A 25,801-nucleotide genomic window follows, 5' to 3' on the forward strand; every position below is an offset into this window, starting at 1 on the left:
TGGTGCGCGCCTGTAGTCCCAGCTACTCAGGAGGCTGAAGCAGGGGAATCGTTTGAACCCGGGAGGCAGAGGTTGCAGTGAGCCGAGATCACGCCACTGCACTCCAGCCTGGTGACAGAGCAAGACTCCATCTCAATTAAAAAAAAAAAAAAATTCCAGAAAAAAAAATGTGTTGGGGTGAGGTGGGAATTCATATAACAACAACATGGCTGTGATTGGTTACACGGCAATCCACCGTACCATTGTCTTTTTTCTGGTGATGTGTGAAAATTTCCACAATGAAAAATTTTAAACAGTGGCTACAGGACTTTTTAAAATTGGGAGTGAGCAGGAGAGGTATAGAACCTGCTGGAAATTCACGCATGTGTGGGATCAGAGCTATCTTCACAGAGCAGGTTTCAATGGGCAAACTATAGGGGGAAATGATAAAATAATCCAATTGTTTTCTGAGTACACCCTGTGAGATCCACTTGTCCAGCGTTCTGCTTATTTTTTCTGGGTGGTTGAATTTATGTGTTCCCATCCTCCATTCCTAGAGAATGCCTTCTGGCCAAGACTTCCCCAGTGCTCACCCCAGCAGGATCTAGGCAGTTCTGTGGCTCCCTGGCTTTTTTGGGCGATCTGACGACATGGCAGCTCCTTGCCACAGACACCAAGATAGATGTTTCCGGAGTGCAGAGCCCTGGGGGTGCGGAAGGACAGCCTCTGTGAAGATATTCAGCACAGCAGGGGCCATTAGTCACCAAGGATCATTTGACATTTTGAAATGAACTCCCGGGCTCTCCTAAGTAAGCTGGAACACTGAATTATGCCTAGGCTAGTGGCTGTGTCTGGGGCTGAGGGTCCCCGCCAGGAGGGGAGGCTGGGTGCAGCGCCTCAATGCCGGGAAGTGAGCAGCATAGCGCATGCGCAGGAACCTCGCTGGTCCGCCTGTGGTCTCTCAGCTGGGGTCACAGCTCATGGCAGCTTCAGCGGTGTGGGTGGGTGGCCTCGCTTACCATCGACCTTTGTGACAAGCCTTACTGGCTCTTCTTCAGGAACTTGCCACCGAGTATCAGCCGAAACCTGAGTCCGCTGAGGCGTAGGCCAAAGGCCCCTCTAGCTGTCCTTTCTCAGGCCCAGAGGATGCTCACGGAGAAAAGCCACCATTCAGTTGAGTCCATCTCTGGCACCAAAGCTCACAATGAGGCTACGCCGAGGAAACTGGCTTTTCATAGTTAGATTTGGTTTTCTTCCCTGAGCGTGACAGCCAATACTTTATGAAGACTCCCTGAATGCTGGGCATTATTCAGTGCTTGGAATCATGTAATCCTCACAGCAACCCTGTGAGGAGGGGCTTTCCCCGTCCCTGTTGTATGGATGAGAAACGGAAGGCTTGCAGAGGCTACCATGAAGTGACTTGCCCAAGGGCACACAGCCGGTGAGTTGTGACTAGTACTCAACGCAGCCACAAAAGCCTGGCTCTCAACCACTGATCCTGCCTCCCCGGGAGCTTTAGGAAACTAGGCTTATTACAGGTTCCATTCAAGGCAGGGATGGGCGGGGTTCCCAGCTGAGGCCCTGGAGCAGTCCTGCAGCCTTACATTTCTTCAGAGCCAACTACGTGTGGGACATTCCAATCCAGGTGTGGTCAAATGAGGCCCTGTCATGCAGGGGTTCCTGGGTGACTTAGGGGAAGAATGATTTTTTTTTTTTTGAGACAGGGTCTTGCTTGGTGGCCCAGGCTGGGGTGCAGTGGCTCAATCATGGCTCACTGCAGCCTCAACCTCCCGGGATCAAACTCCCACTTCAGCCTCCAGAGTAGCTGGAACTACAGGCACGTGCCACCAGACCCAGCTAATTTTTGTGTTTTTTTGTAGAGAGGGGATTTCACCGTGTTGTCCAGGCTGGTCTCGGACTCCTGGGCTCAAGCTGTCTGCCCGCTTCGGCCTCCCAAAGTGCTGGGATTACAGGCGTGAGCCACTGCACCCGGCCCTGGAAGAATGATTTAAGAATCATTTGTGATGGCGGTCAAATGTTTATTTTGAAATGCCAGAGAATAGTTTTCTAGGCAAAACCTTCCCTCTGCCCAGGTGGCGACACCCTTCATTTGCTTAGCAAACTCTTTTTCCAGTGGTTCTGCAAAGGCTACCCTGAAGAAAAGGAACTAGTAATGCCTAACACTTTCGAGTTTACAAAATGCTATTCCTTACCTGATTTTGCTTTGCTCCGTCCATAATTTGGCAATAGGCGATTCAGACCCATTACAGAGATGAGGAAGCAGAGGCTTCCGGAGGCAAATTGCTTGGCAGCTCAGCCAGGACTCAAAGCACAAACTCTAGTTTGGACTACCCAGTAGGAAGAAATGGAAAGGGAAGAGAGATGCCAAACTGATGAGGTTTTAGTGAAACTACCCTGTGTTTCTTAGGATGTGAGTGGCTATTTCTTGGGTAGATTTCTCTCAAGCACAGTTCCTCTGTCCTTTCTTGTCGTGCCCAGACCCCTGCCCTCCGCTCCTCCCAGGCCTTCTTGCTGATGAGTAAACAAGATACTTTCTGGTCACCCACCTTGGAAAATGAGGGCTGCATTATAGCCGGACTCCCCCTGAGTAAGCATAAGTCTGGGCTGGGCACGGTGGCTCACATCTGTAATCTCAGCACTTTGGGAGGCCGAGGCGGGTGGTCACTTGAGATCAGGAGTTTGAGACCAGCCTGGCAAACATGGGTGAAACCCCATTTCTACTAAAAATACAAAAATTAGCCAGGTGTTGTGGCGCACACCGGTAATCCCAGTTATATGGAGGCAGAGGCAGGGGAATTGCTTGAACCTGGGAGGCGGAGGTTGCAGTGAGCCAAGACCACGCCACTGCACTCCAGCCTGGGCAACAGAGTGAGACTCCATCTCAAAAAAAAAAAAAGAAAAAAAAAAAAGAAAGGTGGATCTGACTCTTCCAGGATCACACAGGTCTAAGAGGTAAATCCAGATTTTCTGTTATAATCCCAAGGTCATTCTACTATAGCCCTAAGACACACAGGTACCTCTCTCTTTCACTCCTAAAGCCTGTGCTTTTTTTTTTTTTTTTTTTTTTGAGACAGAGTCTTACTCTGTCACCCAGGCTGAAGTGCAATATCTCACAGGTTCAAGTGATTCTCATGCTTCAGCCTCCCAAGTGTCTGGGATTACAAGCACCTGCCACCACGCCCAACTAATTTTTGTATCTTTAGTAGAGACTGGGTTTCACCATGTTGGTCAGGCTGGTCTTGAACTCCTGACCTCAAGTGATCTGCCTGCTTTGGCTTCCTGAAGTGCTGGGATTACAGGCATGAACTATTGCACCCGCCCTGTGCTGTCTTTTAAGATTCATTGGTGAGGCCGGGTGTGGTGGCATACGTCTATAATCCCAGCACTTTGGGAGGCCGAGGTGGGCGGATCACGAGGTCAGGAGATCGAGACCATCCTGGCTAACACGGTGAAACCCCGTCTCTACTAAAAAATACAAAAAATTATCCAGGCATGGTGGCATGTGCCTGTAGTCCCAGCTACTCGGGAGACTGAGGCAGGAGAATGGCATGAGCCCGGGGAGATGGAGCTGCAGTGAGCTGAGATCGTGCCACTGCACTCCAGCCTGGGTGACAGAGCAAGACTCCGTCTCAAAAAAAAAAAAAAAAAAGATTCATTGGTGAACGAGTACATTCATTTGCTAGGAATTCTTGGATGTTTGTTTACAAATGCGTATCTCCTCAACCAGACTCTGAGCCCTTTCAATCAACTCAATACATTATGAAACAAACAAGAACAATGCAAGCAGACTAAAAAAAAAAAAAATGTGCATCTTGTCCCCGAGTAGGAACTGCCCCATAAATCTCCTGATCTTCCAATATGCCCGTTCTCCCCTGCACAGCTAGCAAGGGTTCTGGGGTAGGGTTTCTGTTTCCAAAAGTGCCTAATAGGGACATGCTTATCATTAGTTCTCCAAATCTGGGGAATGCTCATTTGTTTGCCTGTGCGAAAATGAATGTATAGTTTACCCAATACACACACAGACACGCACACACACACATATATGAGTTAGTCAAGCACAGAGAACAAAATTTGGAGAACTGCCAGATCATGAAGAGTGTTTAATCCTGGGGTAGGGCCAAAATGTCATTATAGGCAATTTTCACCTTTTGTGAATGCTTACAGCTTATTCAAAAAATATTTTCAAAATAAAATATTGAGTATGTATAAAAGAATATCAATAAAATGTAAGTAAGGTATGAAGAGTTATGATACAATAGACACTCATATACTCACCACCTGGGCAAAGAAATAGAACACAGTACTATTTCCTCTGAAGTCCCCTGTTAGCCCTCCCCAGTGCCATCCCTGCCCCTTAGCCTTCAGAGGTAACCATGTCCCTGAATTCTGTATTGATCAGTCTACTTTTCTTTTAGTTTTACCACATATGTTTGCAGCCTGGACGAGCTTGTTTCATTTTGCATTTTTGCATTTTTACATTTTCAATAAATGGAAATATACTCTAAGTACTTTTCTGCAACTTGGGAGATTAATCTATATTGTTGCATATAGTTCATTCATTTTCAGTGAGTACAGATTGTTTTCAGTGCTATATAGTATTCCATTGTATGAATATATTATAATGTATTTAACTATTTTATCATTGTTGGACAGCTGCATTGTTTACAGTTTTCTTTTTTTAATATTACAAGTGAGGCTATTATGAACATTTTTGTATAAGTCTCATAGTGTTACACATTGCCATTGAGAAAAATATCTGAGAGAGGAATTTCTGGTCATAGAGTATGTACATATTTAACTTTACTAGATGATGTCAGTCTTCCAAAGTGGTTGTATAAATTTATACTCCCACCACAGTCTTTGGAAGCTTCCATTGATCCTCTTCCTCATCAACACTCAGCAATTCTTGTTAGACTTCTTAATTTTAGCTGCTGGGTGGGTGAGTAATAGTGTCTCATTGTAGTTGTAATTTGCATTTTGCTGATTACCAATGAGGTTTAGCACATTTTCATGTTTATTGGCCATTTGGAAATCTTTTCTGAAGTGCCTGTCGATTTAATTTTTTTTTTCTGTTTGTCCTCTGGTGCTAAAACTGAAAACATGTTCAATACTTTAGTCTATTTTTCTACTGGGTTTTTGATGTCAGTTTTTGGTAATGCTTTCTACATCCTAGAGATGGGACCTTTAGTATGTGCAGCAACGATTACCGCCAATTCCTCGGCTTGCCTTTTCATTCTCTTCGTGGTGTCTTTTGATGAACAGGAGTTCCTAAATGTAATGCAGTCAAACTTAGCAATCATTTCCTTTATGTTCAGTACTTTTTGTGTTCTGTTTGTTTCCCTACCCTGACAGCATGAAGATATTTTCCTATATTATTTTCTGGAAGCAATCTTGTTTTGCCTTTCATCTTTAGATCTACCATCTAGATTGATTTTTGTGTATGTTGTGTGGTAGGGTCACATTTCTTTTCCTTTTTCATGTGGATATCCATGGAGCTATTGAATAGAAATAAGTACCCTTTTCCCACTGTCCTGCAGTACTGCCTTTTCCATAAGTGTGCATGTGCCATAGATCCATCTCTATCCCATTGGTGTATGAGTCTGTTCTCACATTGCTATAAAAAACTTCCCGAGACTGAGTAGTTTACAAAGAAAAGAAGTTTAATTGACTCAGCTCCACAGGCTGTACAGGAAGCATGGTTGGGGAGGCCTCAGAAAAAATCATGGCAGAAGGTGAAGGGGAAGCAAGCACATCTTACCATAGTAAAGCAGGAAAGAGAGAGCAAAGGGGGATATGCCACACACTTTTCAACAACCAGATCTCGTGAGAACTCACTTACTATCACAAGAACAGCAAGGGGGAAATCTGCCCCCATGATCCAATCACCTCCCACCAGGTCCCTCCCCACATTGGGAATTACAATTTGATGTGAGATTTGGGTGGGAACACGGAGCCAAACCATATCAATTGGTCTGTCTATGTTTGTTATACAGTATAACAGTATAATGTCTTATTTTAGCTTTCTAATGAATCTTGCTTCCTGACAGAGGAGATCTTCTTCAAGATGATGTTAGCTACTCTTGAACTTTTGCAGTTCCTTATGAATTTTTTGTTTTGTTTTGTTTTTGTTTTTTGGGACAGAGTCTCACTCTGTTGCCCAGGCTGGAGTGCAGTGGCGCGATCTCGGCTCACTGCAACCTCCACCTCCTGGGTTCAAGTGATTCTCCTGCCTCAGCTCCTGAGTAGCTGAGGCTACATGCACGTGCCACCACACCTGGCTAATTTTTTGTATTTTTATTAGACGGGGTTTCACCATGTTAGCCAGTATGGTCTTGATCTCCTGACCTTGTGATCAGCCCACCTCAGCCTCCCAAAGTGTTGGGATTACAGGCGTGAGCCACTGCACCCGATCTCCTTTTGAATTGCAAAATCACCTTATCTGGGCCTGGTGTGGTGGCTCACACCTGTAATCCCAGCACTTTGGGAGGCAGCGGTGGGTAGATCGCCTGAGGTCAGGAGTTTGAGACCAGCCTGGCCAACATGGTGAAACCCCATCTGTACTACAAATACAAAAATTAGCCAGGCATGGTGATAGGAGCCTGTAATCCCAGCTACTTGGGAGGCTGAGGCAGGAGAATCGCTTGAACCTTGGAGGTGGAGGTTGCAGTGAGCTGAGATCGCACCACTGCACTCCAGCCTGGGCTACAAGAGCGAGACGCCATTTCAAAAAAAAAAAAAAAAAATCACCTTGCCTGTTACCACAAAAAGGGAACTTTGATTGGACTTGCACTGAATCTGTAGATTGGTTTTGGAAGAATTTATATCTTTACAATATTGAGTCTTCCAATTTCTGAGCATGATATCATTCTTTATTTAGTTAGATCTTTTTTTCAGTAATGTTTTTATAGTTTTAAACATAGGCATCTTGAACATCTTTTGTTAGAATTATTCCTAGGTATTTAATTTTTTTGATGCTGTTTTAAAATTTAATTTCCAAACTACTGCTGGACCCTAGAGATGCAACTGATTTTTATACTGATCTTGTATTTCAAAATCTTGCTATACTGGTCCTTTCTGCATTTATTGAGATAATATGATTTTTCACTTTCATTATGAAAGTGTGGTAGATTATAATGATTGATTTTCCAAAGCTGTCACTCTTGCAGTCTGGAAATAAGCTCCACTTAGCCATGATACATTATCCTTTTTATATTATATATCATTGGATTTGGTTTGCTAATTTTTTAAAGGATTTCAAAAATTGATATTAATGACACTGGACTTAACATTTTCCCTTTTTGTAATTTTGCTGTCAGGTTTGGTATCAAGGCTATGTTTTAAAAAAATAAGTTTCGTACAGTGGCTCATGCCTATAATCCCAGTACTTTGGGAGGCTGAGGTAGGAGGATCACCTGAGGTCAGGAGTTCGAGAACAGGCTGGCCAACTTGGCAAAACTCCATCTCTACTAAAAGTACAAAAATTAGCTGGGCGTGGTGGCGAATGCTGGTAATCCCAGCTACTCAGGAGGCTGAGGCACGAGAATCGCTTGAACCCGGGAGGCAGAGGTTGCAGTGAGCAGAGCTCATGCTGCTCACTGCATTCCAGCCTGGGAGACAGAGCGAGATTCCATCTCAATAAATAGATAAAAATAAAAAATAAGTTTGGAATTATTCCTCTTTTTCTATTCTCTGGAAAAGTTGTGTAACAGTAGTGAAAGGGTTTCCCTAAAAGTAAAAACTTACCACTGAAGCTGTCTGGAAGTGAAGTGTTCTTTGTGGGGAAGGATTTAATAAGAAATTTAATCTCCTTGATATATATGGACTATTTAGATTTTCTATTCTTGTGTCAGTTTTGATTAAGGGGTATTTTTGTTAAGAAGTTGTTCATTGTCAATTTTCCAGTGTAATGCCCAAAGTTGTCATAATATCCCCTTATCATCTTTTTTCTTTTCTTTCTTTCTTTTTCTTTTTTTTTCTGAGATGGAGTCTCGCTCTGTTGCCAGGCTGGAGTGCAGTGGCATGATCTTGGCTCACTGCAACCTCCGCCTCCCAGGTTCAAGCGATTCTCCTGCCTAGCTGGGACTACAGGCACGAGCCACCACACTCAGCTAATTTTTGTATTTTTAATAGAGACAGGGTTTCACCATGTTGGCCAGGATGGTCTCGATCTCTTGACCTTGTGATCCCCCTACCTCGGCCTCCCAAAGTGTCTTTTCTTTTTTCTGTGAGATAGTCTCTCTCTGTCACTCAGGCTGGAGTGCAGTGGCAGGATCTTGGCTCACTGCAATCTCTGCCTCCATGGTTCAAGTGATTCTTGTGCCTCAGCCTCCCCAGTAGCTGGGATTACAGGTGTGCACCACCACATCTGGCCAATTTTTGTATTTTTAGTAGAAATGAGGTTTCACCATGTTGGCCAGGCTGGTCTGGAACTTCTGGCCTCAAGTGATCCGCCCACTTTGGCCTCCCAAAGTGCTGGGATTACAGTCATGAGCCACCACGCCCAGCTCCCTTATTATCTTTTGAATATGTGTGGTATCTGCAGTGATGGCTTCTATTTCATTCCTCATGTTGGTTGTTTGGATTTCACCCTTTCTAAATTACTCAGCAGCTTATTGATTGATTTCTTTCTTTCTTCTTCTTGTTTTTTTGAAATGGAGTCTCATTCTGTCACCCAGACTGGAGTGCAGTGGCGTGATCCCAGCTCACTGCAACCTCTGCCTCCACCTCCTGGGTTCAAGTGATGCTCCTGCCTCAGCCTCCTGAGTAGCTGGAATTACAGGTGCGTGCCACCACACCCAGCTAATTTTGTATTTTTAGTAGAGATGGGGTTTCACCATGTTAGCCAGGCTGGACTCAAACTCCCAACCTCAGGTGATCCACCCCCTTCGGCCTCCCAAAGTACTGGGATTACAGGCGTGAGCCACTGTGCCTGGCCATTGATTGGTTTTTTTGAACAAATAACCAATTTTCAGCATTGTTGAATTCTCTATTTTATTTGTTTTGTATTTTATTCGTTTTGTTTTTATCATTACTATTTCTTACCTTCTACTTTTTTGGGGGGTTAATTTGCCTTCTTTGAAAAAAAAGTTTTTTTTAGAAGAATGCTTAGATCGTCAACTTTTAGTATTTCTCCTTTTCAGTTGTGCAATTAAAGGTATATATGTCTCTCTAGGCATAGTGTTGGATGCATGCCACAGGTTTAGAGATTTATATTACATATTATTACTTGGTTCAGAAATATTTGGTTCTGGCCGGGCATGGTGGCTCACTCCTGTAATCTCAGCACTTTGGGAGGCTGAGACAGGAGGATCACCTGAGATCGGGAGTTCGAGATCAGCCTGATCAACATGGAGAAACCCTGTCTCTACTAAAAATACAAAATTATCTGGGCGTGGTGGCACATGCCTATAATCCCAGCTACTCGGGAGACTGAGGCAGGAGAATTGCTTGAACCTGGGAGGCAGAGCTTGCGGTGAGCCGAGATCGTGCCATTGCACTCCAGCCTGGGCAACAAGAGAGAAACTCCACGTCAAAAAAAAAAAAGAAAGAAAATAAATATTTGGTTCTAAGTTACTTTTTGATACTGTCTTTGATCTAAGTGTTACTTAGAAGTTTATGAATTTCCAAACATATGGAGATTTTATAGGATCTTTTAATTGGTTAAAATTTCATTTCTACAGTGGTCAAAGAATATATTCTGTGACTTCATTTTTTTTTGGCATTTGTTGCAAATTAATGGCCCCAAACCTGATATATGTTTGTAAATTGTCTGTGTCCTTAAAACAAATATGTGTTCTGTAGTTGTTGGGTTCAGTGTTCTATATATATGTCAGGTCAAATTTGTGAATCATGTTTTTATGATTTTGACTTTCAAAAAACTTTTTATTTTTAAATATAACACACCTTCAGAAAATCACATAAAACAATGTACTGCTTAATGAATTTTTATAAGGTGAATATTTTTGCAACCACCACTCATGTAAGAAGATAGAAGCTTGCAAGCAAGTGCCCTCTGCTAATCATAGCCATCATCTTACCCCACCCGAATATCTACTATTCTGACTTTTATGGTAATTATCTTCTTGTCTTCATGATTTTGTCATCCAAGTATAAATACCTAAACACTACAGTTTAATTTTGACTTTTTAAAAACTGTTTTTATATGTCTCTTAATTTGTAGTTTTCCTCTTCTTCTGTCTCTCTCATAATTTGTTTTAAAAAACCAGGTCATTGGTAGAGTTTCTCTTATTCTGGACTTTTCTTTTTTCATTTTTTTTTTTTTTTTTTTTGAGACAGGCTCTGTCACTCAGGCTGGAATGCCGTGGTGCAATCTTGGCTCACTGCAGCCTCAACCTCCTGGGCTCAGGTGATCCCCCTTTGCCTCCTGAGTAGCTGGGACTACAGGCGCACCACCATGCCCAGCTGATTTTTGTTTTATTTTGGAGACAGGCCTTCACCATGTTGCCCAGGCTGGTCTTGAAGTCCTGGGCTGAAGCAATCTGCCTGCCTCAGCCTCCAAGGGTGCTAGGATTATAGGCGTGAGCCACCACACCCGGCCATATTCTGAATTTTGCTGATTACATTTCCATGGCATAATTTAACATATTCCTCTATCCTCTGTATTTCTTGTAGATTAGTAATTGACGGTAGAGGACTAATCAGAATTATGTTGGTTTTGTTGTTGTTTTTTGACAAGTCTTCATGAATAGTTGCTTGGTTTTTGTTTTTTTCTATAAGGAGGCACCAAATGTCTGGAATTCCCTCTTTATGAGATTTAGAAGGTATTGGTGTTCAATGTCTAGGTGCATCAATTCATTCAAGGTTGCAAAATAGTGATATTATAGTTCTATCATTCCTCCTTCATTCATTTGCTAGAATACTTCTAGAAAGAGAAAATTTACCTCATCTACTATTTAATTCCCAATTGTACAGTTCAATAGAAAAGGCAAGATAAATGCTTAATTATTTCCCTTTCCCTACCAGTTTTCCAAATAGAGACTTGGTTTCTCAGCAATCCTCCAAGGGTAACCAATTTGAATTTTTGTGTGTGTGTGTTCTAATGAACCAATGGATTTAAACACATTTGATGTGTTTCATCCATTGCAGTAATTACCCTGGATGTTCAAATTGTCCCATATTTGGGCAGTTGGAGTGCTAGTTGGCTCCTGTGTTTCTGAAAGCTTCTTTTCCATCTGGTAAAACGAGATGCTCCAGGCTCATCTTGTACAATTCTTGTCCCAGACATTTTTCCCTGAAGCAGTGGTTTCTTTTAGTGGAAAATGATATACTACTATCCAAATTTGGTTACTGAAAACAGTTGGAAAGATTATTTTGTGTGTGTATTCTCGCCCCATTCTACTTCGCCCTGCTCTTGCTCTTCCTCTTCTAGGGAGCATACAGTTAGTATCATACGTGTACTTTTTCTTTTATATCCTTCATGCAGTCTCAAGTTTTACACACACACACATCAAAATGCCATTCCTTAGCAGTTTCCTAAGAAAAGGCTATAGAATTAATATCCTTTTTAATGTTTTGCATGTAATTCTTCTGCAATATTCATATTGAAAGTTAATTTGGGCCGGGTGTGGTGGCTCACACTTGTAATCCCAGCACTTTGGCAGGCTGAGGCAGGCGGATTACTTGAGGTCAGGAGTTCGAGACCAGCCTGGCTAACATGGTGAAAACCTGTCTCTACAAAAAATACAAAAAATTGGCCGGGCGCGGTGGCTCATGCTTGTAATCCCAGCACTTTGGGAGGCCGAGGCGGGTGGATCACCTGAGGTCAGGAGTTTGAGACCAGCCTGTCCAACATGGCGAAACCCCGTCTCTACTAAAAATATAAAAAATTAGCTGGGCGTGGTGGCGGGCGCCTGTAATCCCAGCTACTTGAAAGGCTGAGGCAGGAGAATTGCTTGAACCTGGGAGGCGGAGGTTGCAGTGAGCTGAGATTGCACCACTGCACTCCAGCCTGGGCGACAGAGAGAGACTCCGTCTCAAACAAACAAATAAGAAGTTAACTTGGCTAGATAAACAAAAAATCTTGGCCTTTATCTTCTTTCCTTGAGTATCTTAAATAGCTTACTCATTTTCTTCTGACATAAAATGTTGCTATCGAAATGTTTTTTGACAAGCACATTTTCTTTCTCCTGTAAGTTACTTGGTGTTTTTGCCTATGTATCCAAAAGACTTTTTCCTTTTTTTTCTAAAGTCTAATATTTTACTAGAATATGTCTTGGTATTGGCTATTTGGGGTCAGTTTCTCCAGTTATGGTGTGTCCTTTAGATTCCTTTCAGAATTTTTGTTTGTTTTCCTCAAAGTTTTGGGAAAAAAATGCATTACGGTTTCCTAACTATAATTTTGGATTTGTCTATTTTTTCTTTTAGTTCTAGTTACTTTCTACATTTTTGAGTCAATGCTGTTATATACATGCAAATATAGATTTGCTAGCTCTTTCTGGTAAATTAAAGCTATCATTATTATAAAAGACCTCTTTACCTCTAGTAATGTTTCTTGCTTTTAAATCTATTTTTTTCTGATATTAATATTGCTACCCCAACTTTCTTTAGGTTTTTGATTGCTGTATCTTTTTTCATACTTTAATTTTACCATTCTGTGTTTCTTAAGCATGCTTCCTGCAAGCACCTTATAATTGGGTTTTGTTTTTTTTAATTAAGCCAGACAATTTTTATATTTTAATTAGAGCATTTAGCCCATTTATATTTAATGTAATTACTGATTCACTTGAGTGTAAATGTTATTATTTACTCTCTCTTTGCCCCAGTTAGTCTATGTTCTCTTTTCTTTGTTGTCTTTTAAAAAATTATTCAATTTTCTCATCTCTTAACTTGATAGTTACTTTTTTTTTTTTTTTTTGAGATGGAGTTTCGGTCTTGTTGCCCAGGCTGGAGTGCAATGGCATGATCTTGGCTCACTGCCACCTCTGCCTCCCGGGTTCAAGCAATTCTCCTGCCTCAGCCTCCCAAGTAGCTGGGATTACAGGCATGCACCACCATGCCTATCTAATTTTGTAATTTTAGAAGAGACGGTGTTTTTCCACGTTGGTCAGCCTGGTCTTTAACTCCTGACCTCAGGTGATCCACCTGCCTCGGCCTCCCAAAGTGCTGAGATTACAGGCATGTGCCACCGCGCCCAGCCAGTAGTTACATATTTTTAAAAATAAGATCTTTGTTGGTCAAACAGATATTGCAACATACTTGAGTTATCAAATTCCAGAAGGAATTAGTACCTTTACCTCTTCTCAGACAATATGAGTGCCTCAGAAAGACATTAATTCCATCCACTCCACTTCTGATTTATATGCTACTGCTGTTGCACAGCCACGCCCAGCAGCCTATGAAGCTTTCAAAAGCCATGCTCAGTCTTATCAGCTGTCTGTACAATCAGTAAATGCATCTAGGCCCCAGAAACCTGCCTTATCTGCTTGAGTTTCTGCTCTCCAGAGATCTTGGCTCAGTAATTTTTCACTCTCATCTGGGCTCTTTGATGCCTTCAATAATTTTCATATTAGTCCAGCTTTTCTAGTTGTTCTTGGTGGGACAATTGTTCTGGTTTACCTATTCTGACATTAGCGGAAGTAGAAGCTCGATACTACTAACTATACTTGATGAAGACCCATTGAGCAGGCATAGAGTATAGCTGCCAGCAAAGCAGTCTAAGTCCCATAGCTCCTCGGAATCTGCAGTGTCTGAGAGAGGTGACTCATGGCCCAGCATGTGATGTTGCATCTGGAGTCAGAGGTGTGTTCTAGCCAGGCCTGGGAGCTCTATGTATTGCTTAGCTGTCCCAGTAATGGTGTCTCTTCATCCAAAAGGGCACCTGAGGCAGCCCATGCTGTGCTGAGATTTTGGATCTGTGCCCAGGGCCCAGTGCCGTGGAGGTCTACCTAGAAAATAGTCTCTGTTCCACCTTCACCATGATAGACACAGTGAGCTCTCGGTGTGGGTTCAGTGCCCTGTAGTTCAAAGACAGGAGTCTGGGCCAAAGGTCGGTGTTACCTCATCCTTGCCAGGGGCTGAGGAAGGGTGAGAGATGGGCCACTCCTGGAGCTACTGCTTCATCTTCTCATGAAGGTGAATGAAGCTGCCACTGCAGGTAGGGGCTCAGTAAGGACAGAGCTCCAGCCCAGGACCTCCACACCTTGCACAATGCGATTTTATCGTTGTTATGGACTGAATTGTCTCCCCGCAAAATTCCTATATTGAAATCCTAACCCCCAATACCTCAGCATGTAACCGTATTTGGAAATCAGACCTTTATTTATTTATTTATTTATTTTGAGACACAGTCTTACTGTGTCGCCCAGGCTAGCATGCAGTGGTGTGCTCTTGGCTCACTGCAACCTTCGCCTCCCATGTTCAATTGATTCTCCTGCCTCAGCCTCCCCAGTAGCTGGGATTATAGGTGCCTGCCACCATGGCTGGCTAATTTTTATATTTTTAGTAGAGACGGGTTTTTGCCATGTTGGCCAGGCTGGTCCCAAACCCCTGACCTCAGTTGATCAACCCATCTCTGCCTCCCAAAGTGCTGGTATTGCCTGGCCTGGAAATCAGACCTTTAAAGAGGTAATTAAGGTTAAGTGAGGTCATAAAGGTCTGGCCCCCCTCCTATGGTGGCACAGTGTCCTTACAATAAGAGGAGGAGGAGATGCCACGTATGCACGGTCACAGAGCAAAGCCCATGTGAAGGCACTGCAGAAGGTGAGCACTGCTGATGGCAGGCACTGGAGAAGGCAGGCACTGGAGAAGGCAGGCACTGCAGAAGGCGGGCACTGGAGAAGGTGGGCACTGCAGAAGGCAGGCACTGCAGAAGCTGGGCACTGCAGAAGGTGGGCACCATGTGAAGGCACTGCAGAAGGCGGCCAGCTGCGAGCTGAGGAGAGGAGCAGCAAGAGAAACCAGCCCTGCAACACCTCCATTTTGGACTTCCAGCCTCTAGAACTGTGAGAAAATGAATGTCTGTTGTTGACACTGCCCAGTGTGGTATTTTATTACGGCGGTCCTAGCACACAAGTACACTTGGGGTGGGGTCAGACACTCAGTTGACAGGAAGGTGATGGTGAAAGTTTCCGTCCTCCCTGGAAACACCCCACCCACATGGTCCTGAGGTGTCTGGCTTTCAGAAAGTGACTCTCCCCAGTGCTTCATTTGCTCCGTTTGTTTCTAAATGTGTCTGGGTCTGTTTCCAGCCTTATTTTGTCTTCCTTTACCAACCACCTCCTTCCAAATAAGAAGATTCTCGCAGGTCCAGTCTCAGAGGGCAGAAAACCCAGATCTCTGGAGTTTCTGTCCCGAGAGGACCTGGCACCTGACTTCCTGACTCAACTGCTGGAGGGACGCGGAGGACTGTTGATTGGACTTGCTCCTTCGTCGTGTCCCCACACCGCGGGTGGCAGGACTAGAGCCTTGCCGCATTATGGGCTTCTTTATTGGCTGGCATAAATTTGGCCACTTCTGGCTGTATACCTCTTGCACAGCTGTGCTTCTTGTTTTGCTCCTGTGGTCAGTGTGGTTTCTGAGATGTCTGAGGAACAACCTGAGGAAAGCTGTGGCCCTCCTGACCATGACAGCCCAGACCTAATCACTGGGACCCCCCAATCCACTGGCAAGGAACAGTCAGTGAGCGCTTGAAGTGTCATACACTCCCCTGCCCCCAAGGCAGTGGAGCAGGTGAGGAGTCACTTTGTCACTCCCAGGGCGATGGCCTCACCTGTCTCCCGTGGCCTCCGGGGCTGTGTGGGCGTGTGTGGGTGTGTGTGTGCGCGCGTGTGTGTGTTGCTGGTAGTGAACATGCCCTCTGGTGGCCCCCGCAGACAGGCTTGCTGTTTCTTCCCTAGATGTTAGCCTCGCCTCTTATTTTTTATTTTTTTTTTTTTTACCTCTTCCGCGTCTGCTTAACCTCAGCTCCCAGTAAACACGCTAGGGACAACAGGCTTCCCTAGGGCCCCCTATCTTTGCTAGTCCTAAGCCCTGAAAGACCTCGCTTTAATTCTTCCAGCATGAGCCTTTGTTGTAGATAATTCTAGCTATCTGATTCAAACATGAGAGTAATGGTTTTTACATCGGAGTCAGGTACAAACCTCTGTTACACAAAGGAAACCAGAAATCGTATGATTCCCTAGGGATGACTGAAATTATTTTGTTTATCATATTACTTAAATAAGTACGAACATAATTTTTTATTTTTATTTTTTGAGAAGGTGTCTTGCTTTGTCGCCCAGGCTGGAGTGCAGTGGCGCGATCTCGGCTCACCGCAAACTGCGCCTCCTGGGTTCACGCCATTCTCCTGCCTCAGCCTCCCCAGTAGCTGGGATTACAGGCATGCACCCCAATGCCTGGCTAATTGTTTATATTTTTAGTAGAGACGGTGTTTCACCGTATTAGCCAGGATGGTCTCGATTTCCTGACCTCGTGATCCGCCCGCCTTGGCCTCCCAAAGTGCTGGGATTACAGGTGTGAGCCACCGCACCCAGCCATAAAATTATTTAACTTCTATATATTTTAATGGCTCTTAAGTAATTCTAAAACCAAAATCAGTGTACAAAGAAAACACCAAAAGTTCCTGAAAAACCACCCGAACTTGTTAGCACATTAATGTGACTTGCTATGTTGTTTTTCTGAACTCAAACACCATGAATGCTGCACTCAGTGATACCCAGGCTGTGTGGTCTGATGATGGGGCTCTTCCAAATCTTGCCTCTATTGGAAAAATTGCAACATTTCACTATACAGAACACTATTGTGGCGTTTACAAATGAAATCCTCTGCTCCGTCCTATAAAATTACTACTATTTGGCTCTGAGATCTCTAGACATACTTAGTTGTGAGAGTTGTGAGATGATCATCTGATGTCAGATGTGTTTACATTAATTTTTAAGACTTTAATTCAAATGAAAACTAAAAGTCTTGTAGAGAGGACCTACTGAATGTGTCTGGTATGAGTCTCAGGGTGTTTGGAAACTCCAGATCTAAAATTCTTGGATTTGAGACCCTGGTATTTCACTTAAGAAGCTCTTTACCTGCCTCTCCCTAGGCCTGGGTTTGACTCCAGCCACTCCCAATGCCCTGTGGGGCTGAGGTCCCCCAGACAGGCGCTGGGGACCTGGCTTGTTTTTGTTTTGCTTCTCCTGGGCAAGGCAGGTGCACACTACATGCTCAGTGCGAACTGAAACACAAAGTGCTGGGTGGCCGCTCAGCGGACGGTACTCCCTGCTCCCCTGTGGCTCCTCAACTCAGTCTGTGAAGGGTCCCCATGCCCCCAGGCCAGGGCTGGCCGAGGGGGGCTGGCCTGCTACCCAACTGATCCTGGTGGGGGGACCAGCTGCTCACCATGCCTCCACCAGAGGAAAAAATAGCAGTTCAGTCTTTGGAAAAAACTAGCGACTCACACGACCAGAATAGCAACTGAAGACGCTCTAAAAAACAGAAACACCTGCTTCAGAATTATGGCAGGAAATGAGATTTCAGAAATGCCACAAGAAGCTGGTGTCGCAGCTGCCCCTACCTCGTATTCCCCCAGCCTTCGCCCGCCAGCTGGGGCTGCCCACAGGGAAAGCCCCTTGGCCCACTGCCTGTGGTAGCCGCTGGATAGGGCCTGGCATGTGGGGTCAGGGCCCAGTGCCGCCTGCCTGGGGCTGTCTAGCAGCTGCCCCTGCCATGCTGGCTGCGGGCGAGACTCCACACTCCTGTGTCTGAGCCTCTTGAGTGGTAACAGAAACTCAGGGTGGACTAGTCACGGAGGAAAGGGGGATATGTGGTCTCCTGCGAGCCCCCTGGACTGAGCCTTCCTTAGGCAAACTGTGCAGCTGTTGGCTGAGCCTCTGGATTGATGAAATCTCTTGAGGGACTCCACAGGGCTTTCAAGGGAAGTGGAGGGGTGATGTGTTCAGTCTGGAGCAGGGGTCTCCAAAGTGGAGTACATACATCCCAGAGGGCTTAAGGAAAGAAAAATAATAGTGCATCTACTCAGATTAACATTTTGCTTCCAACATGAAAGAAAAAGCTGTGCAATGTTAGTAATTTTGAACGTTGAGGGACTCACGTGCCTTAGACGGCTGTGTAGGAGGAGTACTTTGTGGGAGGAAGAGCGGGGATTTCATCAAATTGCAACTTACATAGTGCCCACCAAAGGGAATTTAGATATTCTATTATCTATTTTTAAGTCAACTAAGGCTCCCAAAAAGGATAAGTGGCTTTAAAACAATGTTGAAAAGAAATCTTGGACTGAAGATAACACTAATATGAAATCATACCACGCAGCCCCCACATGGCAGAGCTGACCCTCCCTCCTCTGCCCCCAGCCACGTTATGAAATGAAAACAGCAGCACTTTCCTCAGACCTTGAAGAGTTGGCTGAAATTGCAATCATCCAGAAGACTATTTGAAATACGGCTTTACATCCATAATCATTCTGGTTGGATGTTGTCTGAAGTGCGTATTGTGCCAAGAGAGGGTAATAAGACATTTAAAATATTTTTAATTTCACCTTTATCTCATCCTTTTTACTCTTCTTTTTTGGATGTTAAAAAATAATAGCATGATAGTGCAATGTCACACGGAAGTATGCAGAAGTAATTTATAAAATTAAATAATCAGAATGTTTGGGTACATGAACAACTTTTTGTCCTGTGGTCAGGGCAGGCAATACAAAAACTCAGGGACCCCTGATCCAGCCAAGTGGATCTCAGGCCCACCCACAAAGTTTCTGATCCATTGGGCCTGGAATGGAACAGAGAATTTGCCTTTCTTTTTTTTTTTTTTCTTTCTTTCCAGTTAACCATTATTTCCTTCATTTTGTTTTCATTATAGCACGTTTGCTTATTTTACAGCAAGCAGAAAATAAGCTGGGTCTTGTTTTGATCCAAACATTGATGTTTTAAAAGCTGTACACAATATTTCCTAAAAAGAATACATAAAAGTACCTTTTTAGAAGCTTCTATAAGAAAGAAAATACGAAGTTTAACCCCACAATTTTCCTCTTTGCTACAAGTTCAAACTATTGCTACAGTTTTAAATAGACTTTTTGTTGTTTAACCAGACATCCAGGACAATCTTAAAAAATTATAGAAACGTGCACGTAAATGATGCATAGCAGAACTTGGACATTAACTGCAAATGGTAAAGAAATGAAAGTTAGAAACACTATCAAATATACAAAGGTTCTAGAATCAATCCTTTATAAACACATTCCACAAACAATATTTAAAAGCCATGTTTTTGTTCTTTACAGGCAAAACCTAGATTACTAAAACCAAAATGGAAAAAAGTAATCCTTTCAAAGGAATTGTTTCCCTAAGATAATTCGTACTTAAATATGTAAGCAAGCATGTCAGATTTTAAAAGATGCTAGCTTTCTATTCTGAAATGAGATTGGACATGTCAAGTCACTTTTGCCCCCAAAACAATCTTTCAGAGAAATGCTTTAAATTATAAATGATATATTGAATGAAGGGTATAATAAATGAAGCGTATTACTCCATTTTTAGTCAGGCATTACATTGATAACCAAAAACTCAGAGATGTGACTTGCTGAAAGTTGACTAATTCTTTTTCCAAAATTACTTTGAATTTCATGGAACAACAGAATCATCTAGAATGAAGTGCTGTCTTTCATCTTAGCTCACATTAAATAAACTGAGGCGTGAAGAGCAAGCCTCCCTCATAAAGAGGTAGGCAAATTTGTCTACAAACGCACACGCCATGTACTGCAAGCATCAAAATTTAGTACTTTTATTTTTTACTTTTTTGAGATGAAGTCTCACTCTGTCACCCAGGCTGGAGTGCAATGGCGTGATCTCGGCTCACTGCAACCTCCGCCTTCCGAGTTCAAGTGATTCTTCTGCCTCAGTCTCCCAAGTAGCTGGGATTACAGGCATGTGCCACCACGTCTGGCTAATTTTCGTATTTTTAGTAGAGACGGGGTTTCACCATGTTGGCCACGCTGGTCTTGAACTCCTGACCTCAGGTGATCCGCCTTCCTTGGCCTCCCAAAGTGCTGGGATTACAGCTGTGAGCCACTGCACCCAGCCTAAAATTCAGTACTTTTACATATGCACGTGCAAAACCTACTTTGAAACAATTTACTTGCTTCTAACAGCAGTATGAAAACAAAGAAATACTATGGTCACCAGTGCTCCTTAAATCTTAGAATAATTGCATAGGGACATTCTGTTCCCCTTAAAATTATTTCTGCCATCACTGACCTGCTCAAATTTTAAGGTAAGTTTTTCTCATGTTTTCTATGTCCAAATCTTCATAGAAACCAAAAGAACTAGTGAAGACTCCACGTTTCAGTCAAAACTCAATCTCCCTGAAAATACTGCATAATCCAGCTGGCATCATTCCCTAAAACAGTGGGGTTAACAAAAGAACTATTCCCCATTGCATGATAGACAAATGATTATCACAGGCCTAGACATCTTGTCAGGACAACCAGGCCCAGCCTGAACCTAAATGTGTCTGAGCAGTAGTGCTTTACTGTGGTTACAACTTCACTTTTGTATCATTCTATCTTATTAGCAAGCTACATTTCTAAGTTAACAGTTCTACCAAATATGAATATGAAAGTTTATTTTTAATAAGACAATGTGAGGCCGGGCACAGTGGCTCACACCTGCAATCCCAACACTTTGGAAAGCCATAGCAGGTGATTTGCTTGAGCCCAGGATTTTGAGACCAGCCTGGACAACATGGCGAGACCCCATCTCTACAAAAAATTTTAAAATGAGCCAAGAATGGTGGCGTGCACCTGTAGTCAAACTACTTGAGATGTTGTGGTGGGAGGATCACTTGAGCCCAAGAATTAGAGGTTGCAATGACCTTTGATTGCATCACTGCACTCTAGCCTGGGTGACAAAGCAAGACAGCCTGTTTTTTTTTAAAAAAAAATGTTGCAAATTATGGTCAACCAACATCTTTTTGCCACAAACTTCAAACACAAAAAAAAGAATCTTTACAAAAATATACAGGGACACCACAAATTGGTGGTTACCTATAACATTAAACAAACTGGACTCTTCTTTTTTTTTTTTGAGATGGAGTCTCACTCTGTCTCCCAGTCTGGAGTGCGGTGCTGCGATCTTGGCTCACTGCAAGCTCCACCACCCGGGTTCATGCCATTCTCCTGCCTCAGCCTCCCAAGTAGCTGGGACTACAGGCGCCCGCCACCACACCTGGTTAATTTTTGTATTTTGTTTAGTAGAGACGGGGTTACAAACTGACTCTTAAAAGTGGCTTCTCCACAGCATATCATTTGAATTATTACCATTGCCTGGTACAGTGTTTTTAAAGTATTGTTACAACATTGTATTCCTGATTTTTTTTTTTTTTTGAGACAGGGTCTAACTTTGTCACCCAGGCTGGAGTGCAGTGGTGTGATCTCGGTTCACTGTAGCCTCGATCTCCTTGGCTCAAGCAATACTCCTGTTTCAGCCCCAAGTATCTGGTACTACAGGCGCACACCACCATGCCCAGCTAATATTTTAATTTTTGGTAGAGATAGGGGTTTCACCATGTTGCCCAAGCTGGTCCCAAACTCCCGGGCTCAAGAGATCTGCCCACCTCAGCCTCCCAAAGTGCTAGGATTATAGGGTGAGCCACCATGCCTGGCCAATTCCTGATAATTTAAGTAAACCAAACTATAAATAAATGAATGATATGTGCCTAAAAACAACCATAGTTTATATTATCAGTGGCCATTGGATTTAGGAGCAGTCCAATACCTTGATGTAGATTTTGATCTAGAACTAGACTTTGATCTTGACTGACATTTGGATATAAGTAGTTTTTTTTCTTTGATTCCTTTTCATATCTTGAGCCAGACTTATTTAATATGCTTTGGAATCTTATTTATTTATTTATTTTTACTTACTTTTTGAGACAGGGTCTTGCTTTGTCACCCAGGCTGGAGTGTAGTGGCACAATCAAGGCTCACTGCAGCCTTGACCTCCCAGTCTCAAGCAATCCTCCCACCTCAGCCTCCCAAGTAGCTGGGACTACAGGCATGCACCACCATGCCTGGCTAATTTTTTTTTTTTTTTTTTTTTTTTTTTTGTAGAGATGGCATTTTGCCATATTGCCCAGGCTGGTTTCAAACTCCTGAGCTCAAGTGATCTTCCAGCCTCAGCCTCTCAAACTGCTGGGATTAAAGGTGTGAGTCACTGCACCCAGCATGGAATCTGTTTTAGAGGTGCCTCTAGTTCTGGTGTGAGATGCAGACCTAGAATGTGATTTAGCCTTCACTTCTTCCTTGGGCTGCCTTGAATGAGATGTAGATCTTGAAAAAGATGGATTTTGGTGTTTGAATCCACCATTGTCGGAATGGCTTCTGCTACTCCGTGGTTTTCCAGTTGGTTGATTTCTAGGACTGTAAGATCTTCTATAATTGTAATCAAAAGACTGACTTCTGGATCTCCTTTCATAACTTTGGCTTCTAGAACTTCTGTATCTGTCATAACCATCATGGCGTGAAGAGCTGTACACATTCCTCTGTTCCTTGGATTTCATCTGATTTGGTGTCTTCTGATCCCCCTGTGTAAACTGTATTTCAACTTGATGTCCACAAATCTATTTCCTGTCCAAATTATGCAAAGCATCTTCAGCATCACAAACATCCTCAAATTGAACACAAGCAAATCCTCTTGGACGGTGGGTGTGGAAATCAAGTGGAACATAAACATTTCCTGTAGGACCATCATGACCAAATTTATCCTGTCTATCTGCAGACCTGGTGTCATTGGCCACGTTCCTGATGGACAGAGACATGTTTTGGAGGAGTGTGCAGGTAGTGGGACATGATGGTGGCGTGAGTCCAGGCCGGAGGCCCTAACAGACCAGGCAAACTGTCCATAGCTCTGCTGTTAGAAATTCGTATTTCTAACAAGTTCCTAGATGATGATCATGCTGATGGTCTGGGTACCACTAGTCTATAGAAATGACCACAGCCTGAATGAAGACAAGCTGAAGGCAGTGAGGCTACCTCTGCCCTTGTCAACCTTGCTCACAGGTGGAGACAAGGCTGTCACCTGAAGACTGATGATCTCTCCCCACAGCCTGCCACATGCCTGAAATTCACCCTCAGTGCCGGACTCCTTTGGACTCCTTAGCCTTAAACTTGGCTCTGCAACTGCCTCTAGAAACTAGAAGCAGTGTTAGCGAGCGGCGAGCAGGGATGCAGAGGGCAGGGACGGGGAGGAGGAGGGGTTTGTGATCCCACCTACCAGCCTCACTGCCGAGGGCACAGGCTTGGAAGCCTCAGGCTCTGATGTCAGAGAGAGCTGAGCTGGATTCCCTATGCAGCCGCTAGCTAGCTTTTGACTTCAAATCTCAAGAAAAAGACCTTATTATTTCTAATTCTCTTCCTGCCTTCTAAGAAGGGTGGGTCTTGGTAGCTGAAGGCTCTTGTCTGCTGGGCTCAGCACGGGTTGTGGGCATGTAAGCATGGAGGAGCTGGTAGCAGGAGCTGGGGAGTGGGAGGCTGCTGCGTAAAGGAAGAAGGAGGAAGCTGTGGCCAGTGAGAAAGCACGGAGGAGACCTATGAGAAGGAAGCTGTGAGCTATGGGGGGTGCAGCCCACCCTGTTCCTCTGGCCCCACATGCCACCATCATCCTCTATGGGGCACGTCCCGGGAGGCTGAGTCCACATCCTGGTGGGTGTGAGGAAGGCCTGGTGCAGGCCACGTGCCTGGTAGGGCAAAGTTGTAAATTAGATATCAGGACCTTTTCTGTCCCCCTCTGCCCCAGGACTCCTTTCACCTCACATAGCTATTTTTCTTTCTTTCTTTATATTTTTGAGATAGAGTCTTGCTCTGTTGCTCAGGCTGGAGTGCAGTGGTGCGATCTTGGCTCACTGCAACCTCCACCTTCTGGGTTCAAATGATTCTTCTGCCTCAGCCTCCCGAATAGCTTGGATTACAGGAATGTGCCACCATGCCTCACTAATTTTTGTATTTTTAGTAGAGATGGGGTTTCACCACGTTGGCCAGGCTGGTCTTGAACTCCTGACTTCAAGTGATCCCCCTGCCTTGGCCTCCCAAAATGCTGGGATTACAGGTGTGAGCCACCACACCCGGCCTCTTTATTTTTTAAATATGCATTTTTATAAGGGATTCCTGAAAACCAGAAGCAGTGACACACCAAGGCATGTGACTTTATGGCAGGATTTCCTGCACAGCACAGGCCAGGAGAGAGTCAGTGTCCTTCAGATTGGGCCAAGTCATATCCATGCACATCCAGGCCACTCGCTTCTGCAGAAAGGCCTGCTGTGATACCAGGTTTCTGGACCTGCCCGTGTTGGCACTGGAATTCCAGCCTCCAGCATGCATCCTGCAGGGAAAAGGGAGCAAGCTCTATGCAGCTCCACAAAGTTCCAGCGTAGCCTATCTGTGCCTGGTGCTACTGGTTGGGGCTGGCATGGGGGAGCCTCTGAGCTCCCTCCTTTTTCAGCACGGCTCATGCACCCATTTGCCTTTGATGTAATTCTAGAGCCTCCTTTACCTGCATGAGTTAGTGCCTATAAAAGGCCGGTGAGAACTGTGTGGAGACAACAGGCCTCAGAGGGTCCAATCCTCACCCCATCCCTGGCCACCTGGGTGACCTTGAGCAAGTTCCTCAATGTTACGGAGCCCCAGTCCCTTGCTCTGTAAAATAGGGTGATGAGGGTGCTGACTGCAGACAGCCATGAGGATGAAGTGAATGTGTGTGAAGAGCAAGGCCCAGTGGATGCTCCCTGTGTCCTTACAATAGGCTTACCCAATTGGACTAAATTCTTTTTTTTTTTTTTTTGAGACGGAGTCTCACTCTGTTGCCCAGGCTGGAGTGCAGTGGCGCGATCTTGGCTCACTGCAAGCTCCGCCTCCCGGGTTCACGCCATTCTCCTGCCTCAGCCTCCCGAGTAGCTGGGATTACAGGTGCCCGCCACCATGCCCGGCTGATTTTTTTGTATTTTTAGTAGAGACGGGGTTTCATTTTGTTAGCCAGGATGGTCTGGATCTCCTGACCTCGTGATCCGCCCGCCTCGGCCTTCCAAAGTGCTGGGATTACAGGCATGAGCCACCGCGCCTGGCCCAATTGGACTAAATTCTAAAAAACCCTGTGGGTTATGCCACTGAGCTAAACTCAGGGAATCTTATGGTGGGATTTCTGGGGCACCTGAAGGTTAATTCATTCATGTATCCACGCAACAAATTTATACAGAGTACTGACTGCATGTCATACAATAAGCTAGTAAATAGCTAAGAACAAAAGCTTTTCTGGGAGGGCTATTCACCCAGTAGGGCCTTGAGGCTCTGGCAGAGCTCCCTGGAGACTGAGCTGCTGGGCAGGGGAGAATGGGGCAGGCAGTGGGCACTGCCAGTGGATGGAAGCCCTTTTCCATCCCAGGCAAAGTGGCAGAAGACCATGGAGGAACTGCCAGGCTGAAGGGCCCACAGTGAGACCCGGGGGAGTCTGAGGCTGCAGGGAGTGGCCAGCCACCTTTTTGGGCCATGAGTGCTCAGCCAGCTCTTCATCCAGGTGGGAGGGTGGGAGGAGGCTGGGCTCTACAGGAGCTACTCTCTGTACACCTGCCCTCCTGGAGTCATCCCAGTGCACTGCAAGCTTTGGAAGTCAGGGCTTTGGAGTCAGACCTAAATGCAGACCCTCCTCCTCTGCTCCGCCTCAGGAAAGTCACTTTAACTTCTGAGCCTTAGTTTCTCCATGTGTAAAATGGTGATAATTGCATCTTCTTATTTACTCTGCCCAGGAGAACCAAATGAGATAGTAAGAGCAAGTGCTTTCAAGATGATAGC

General features: G+C 44.4%; 1 pseudogene, besides 5 other annotated features; it reads right to left on the bottom strand.

Annotated features, from left to right (window-relative positions):
- Positions 359–1,338: an enhancer, noted in NCBI's record as "NANOG-H3K27ac-H3K4me1 hESC enhancer chr18:48663303-48664282 (GRCh37/hg19 assembly coordinates)". NCBI's record gives its function as "activates a minimal SCP1, AML or CMV promoter by ChIP-STARR-seq in primed H9 embryonic stem cells {active_cell/tissue: H9 hESC(primed)}" and the evidence as "EXISTENCE:reporter gene assay evidence [ECO:0000049][PMID:30033119]".
- Positions 1,339–2,317: an enhancer, noted in NCBI's record as "NANOG-H3K27ac-H3K4me1 hESC enhancer chr18:48664283-48665261 (GRCh37/hg19 assembly coordinates)". NCBI's record gives its function as "activates a minimal SCP1, AML or CMV promoter by ChIP-STARR-seq in primed H9 embryonic stem cells {active_cell/tissue: H9 hESC(primed)}" and the evidence as "EXISTENCE:reporter gene assay evidence [ECO:0000049][PMID:30033119]".
- Positions 15,228–15,387: an enhancer, noted in NCBI's record as "active region_13326". NCBI's record gives its function as "activates an Ori minimal core promoter by ATAC-STARR-seq in GM12878 lymphoblastoid cells {active_cell/tissue: GM12878}" and the evidence as "EXISTENCE:reporter gene assay evidence [ECO:0000049][PMID:35858748]".
- Positions 15,398–15,447: an enhancer, noted in NCBI's record as "active region_13327". NCBI's record gives its function as "activates an Ori minimal core promoter by ATAC-STARR-seq in GM12878 lymphoblastoid cells {active_cell/tissue: GM12878}" and the evidence as "EXISTENCE:reporter gene assay evidence [ECO:0000049][PMID:35858748]".
- Positions 17,632–17,761: an enhancer, noted in NCBI's record as "active region_13328". NCBI's record gives its function as "activates an Ori minimal core promoter by ATAC-STARR-seq in GM12878 lymphoblastoid cells {active_cell/tissue: GM12878}" and the evidence as "EXISTENCE:reporter gene assay evidence [ECO:0000049][PMID:35858748]".
- Positions 21,628–22,869, bottom strand: SRSF10P1 (serine and arginine rich splicing factor 10 pseudogene 1; annotated as a pseudogene).

This window comes from Homo sapiens, chromosome 18 (assembly GCF_000001405.40).
Source record: "Homo sapiens chromosome 18, GRCh38.p14 Primary Assembly".
Lineage (NCBI taxonomy): Eukaryota > Metazoa > Chordata > Mammalia > Primates > Hominidae > Homo > Homo sapiens.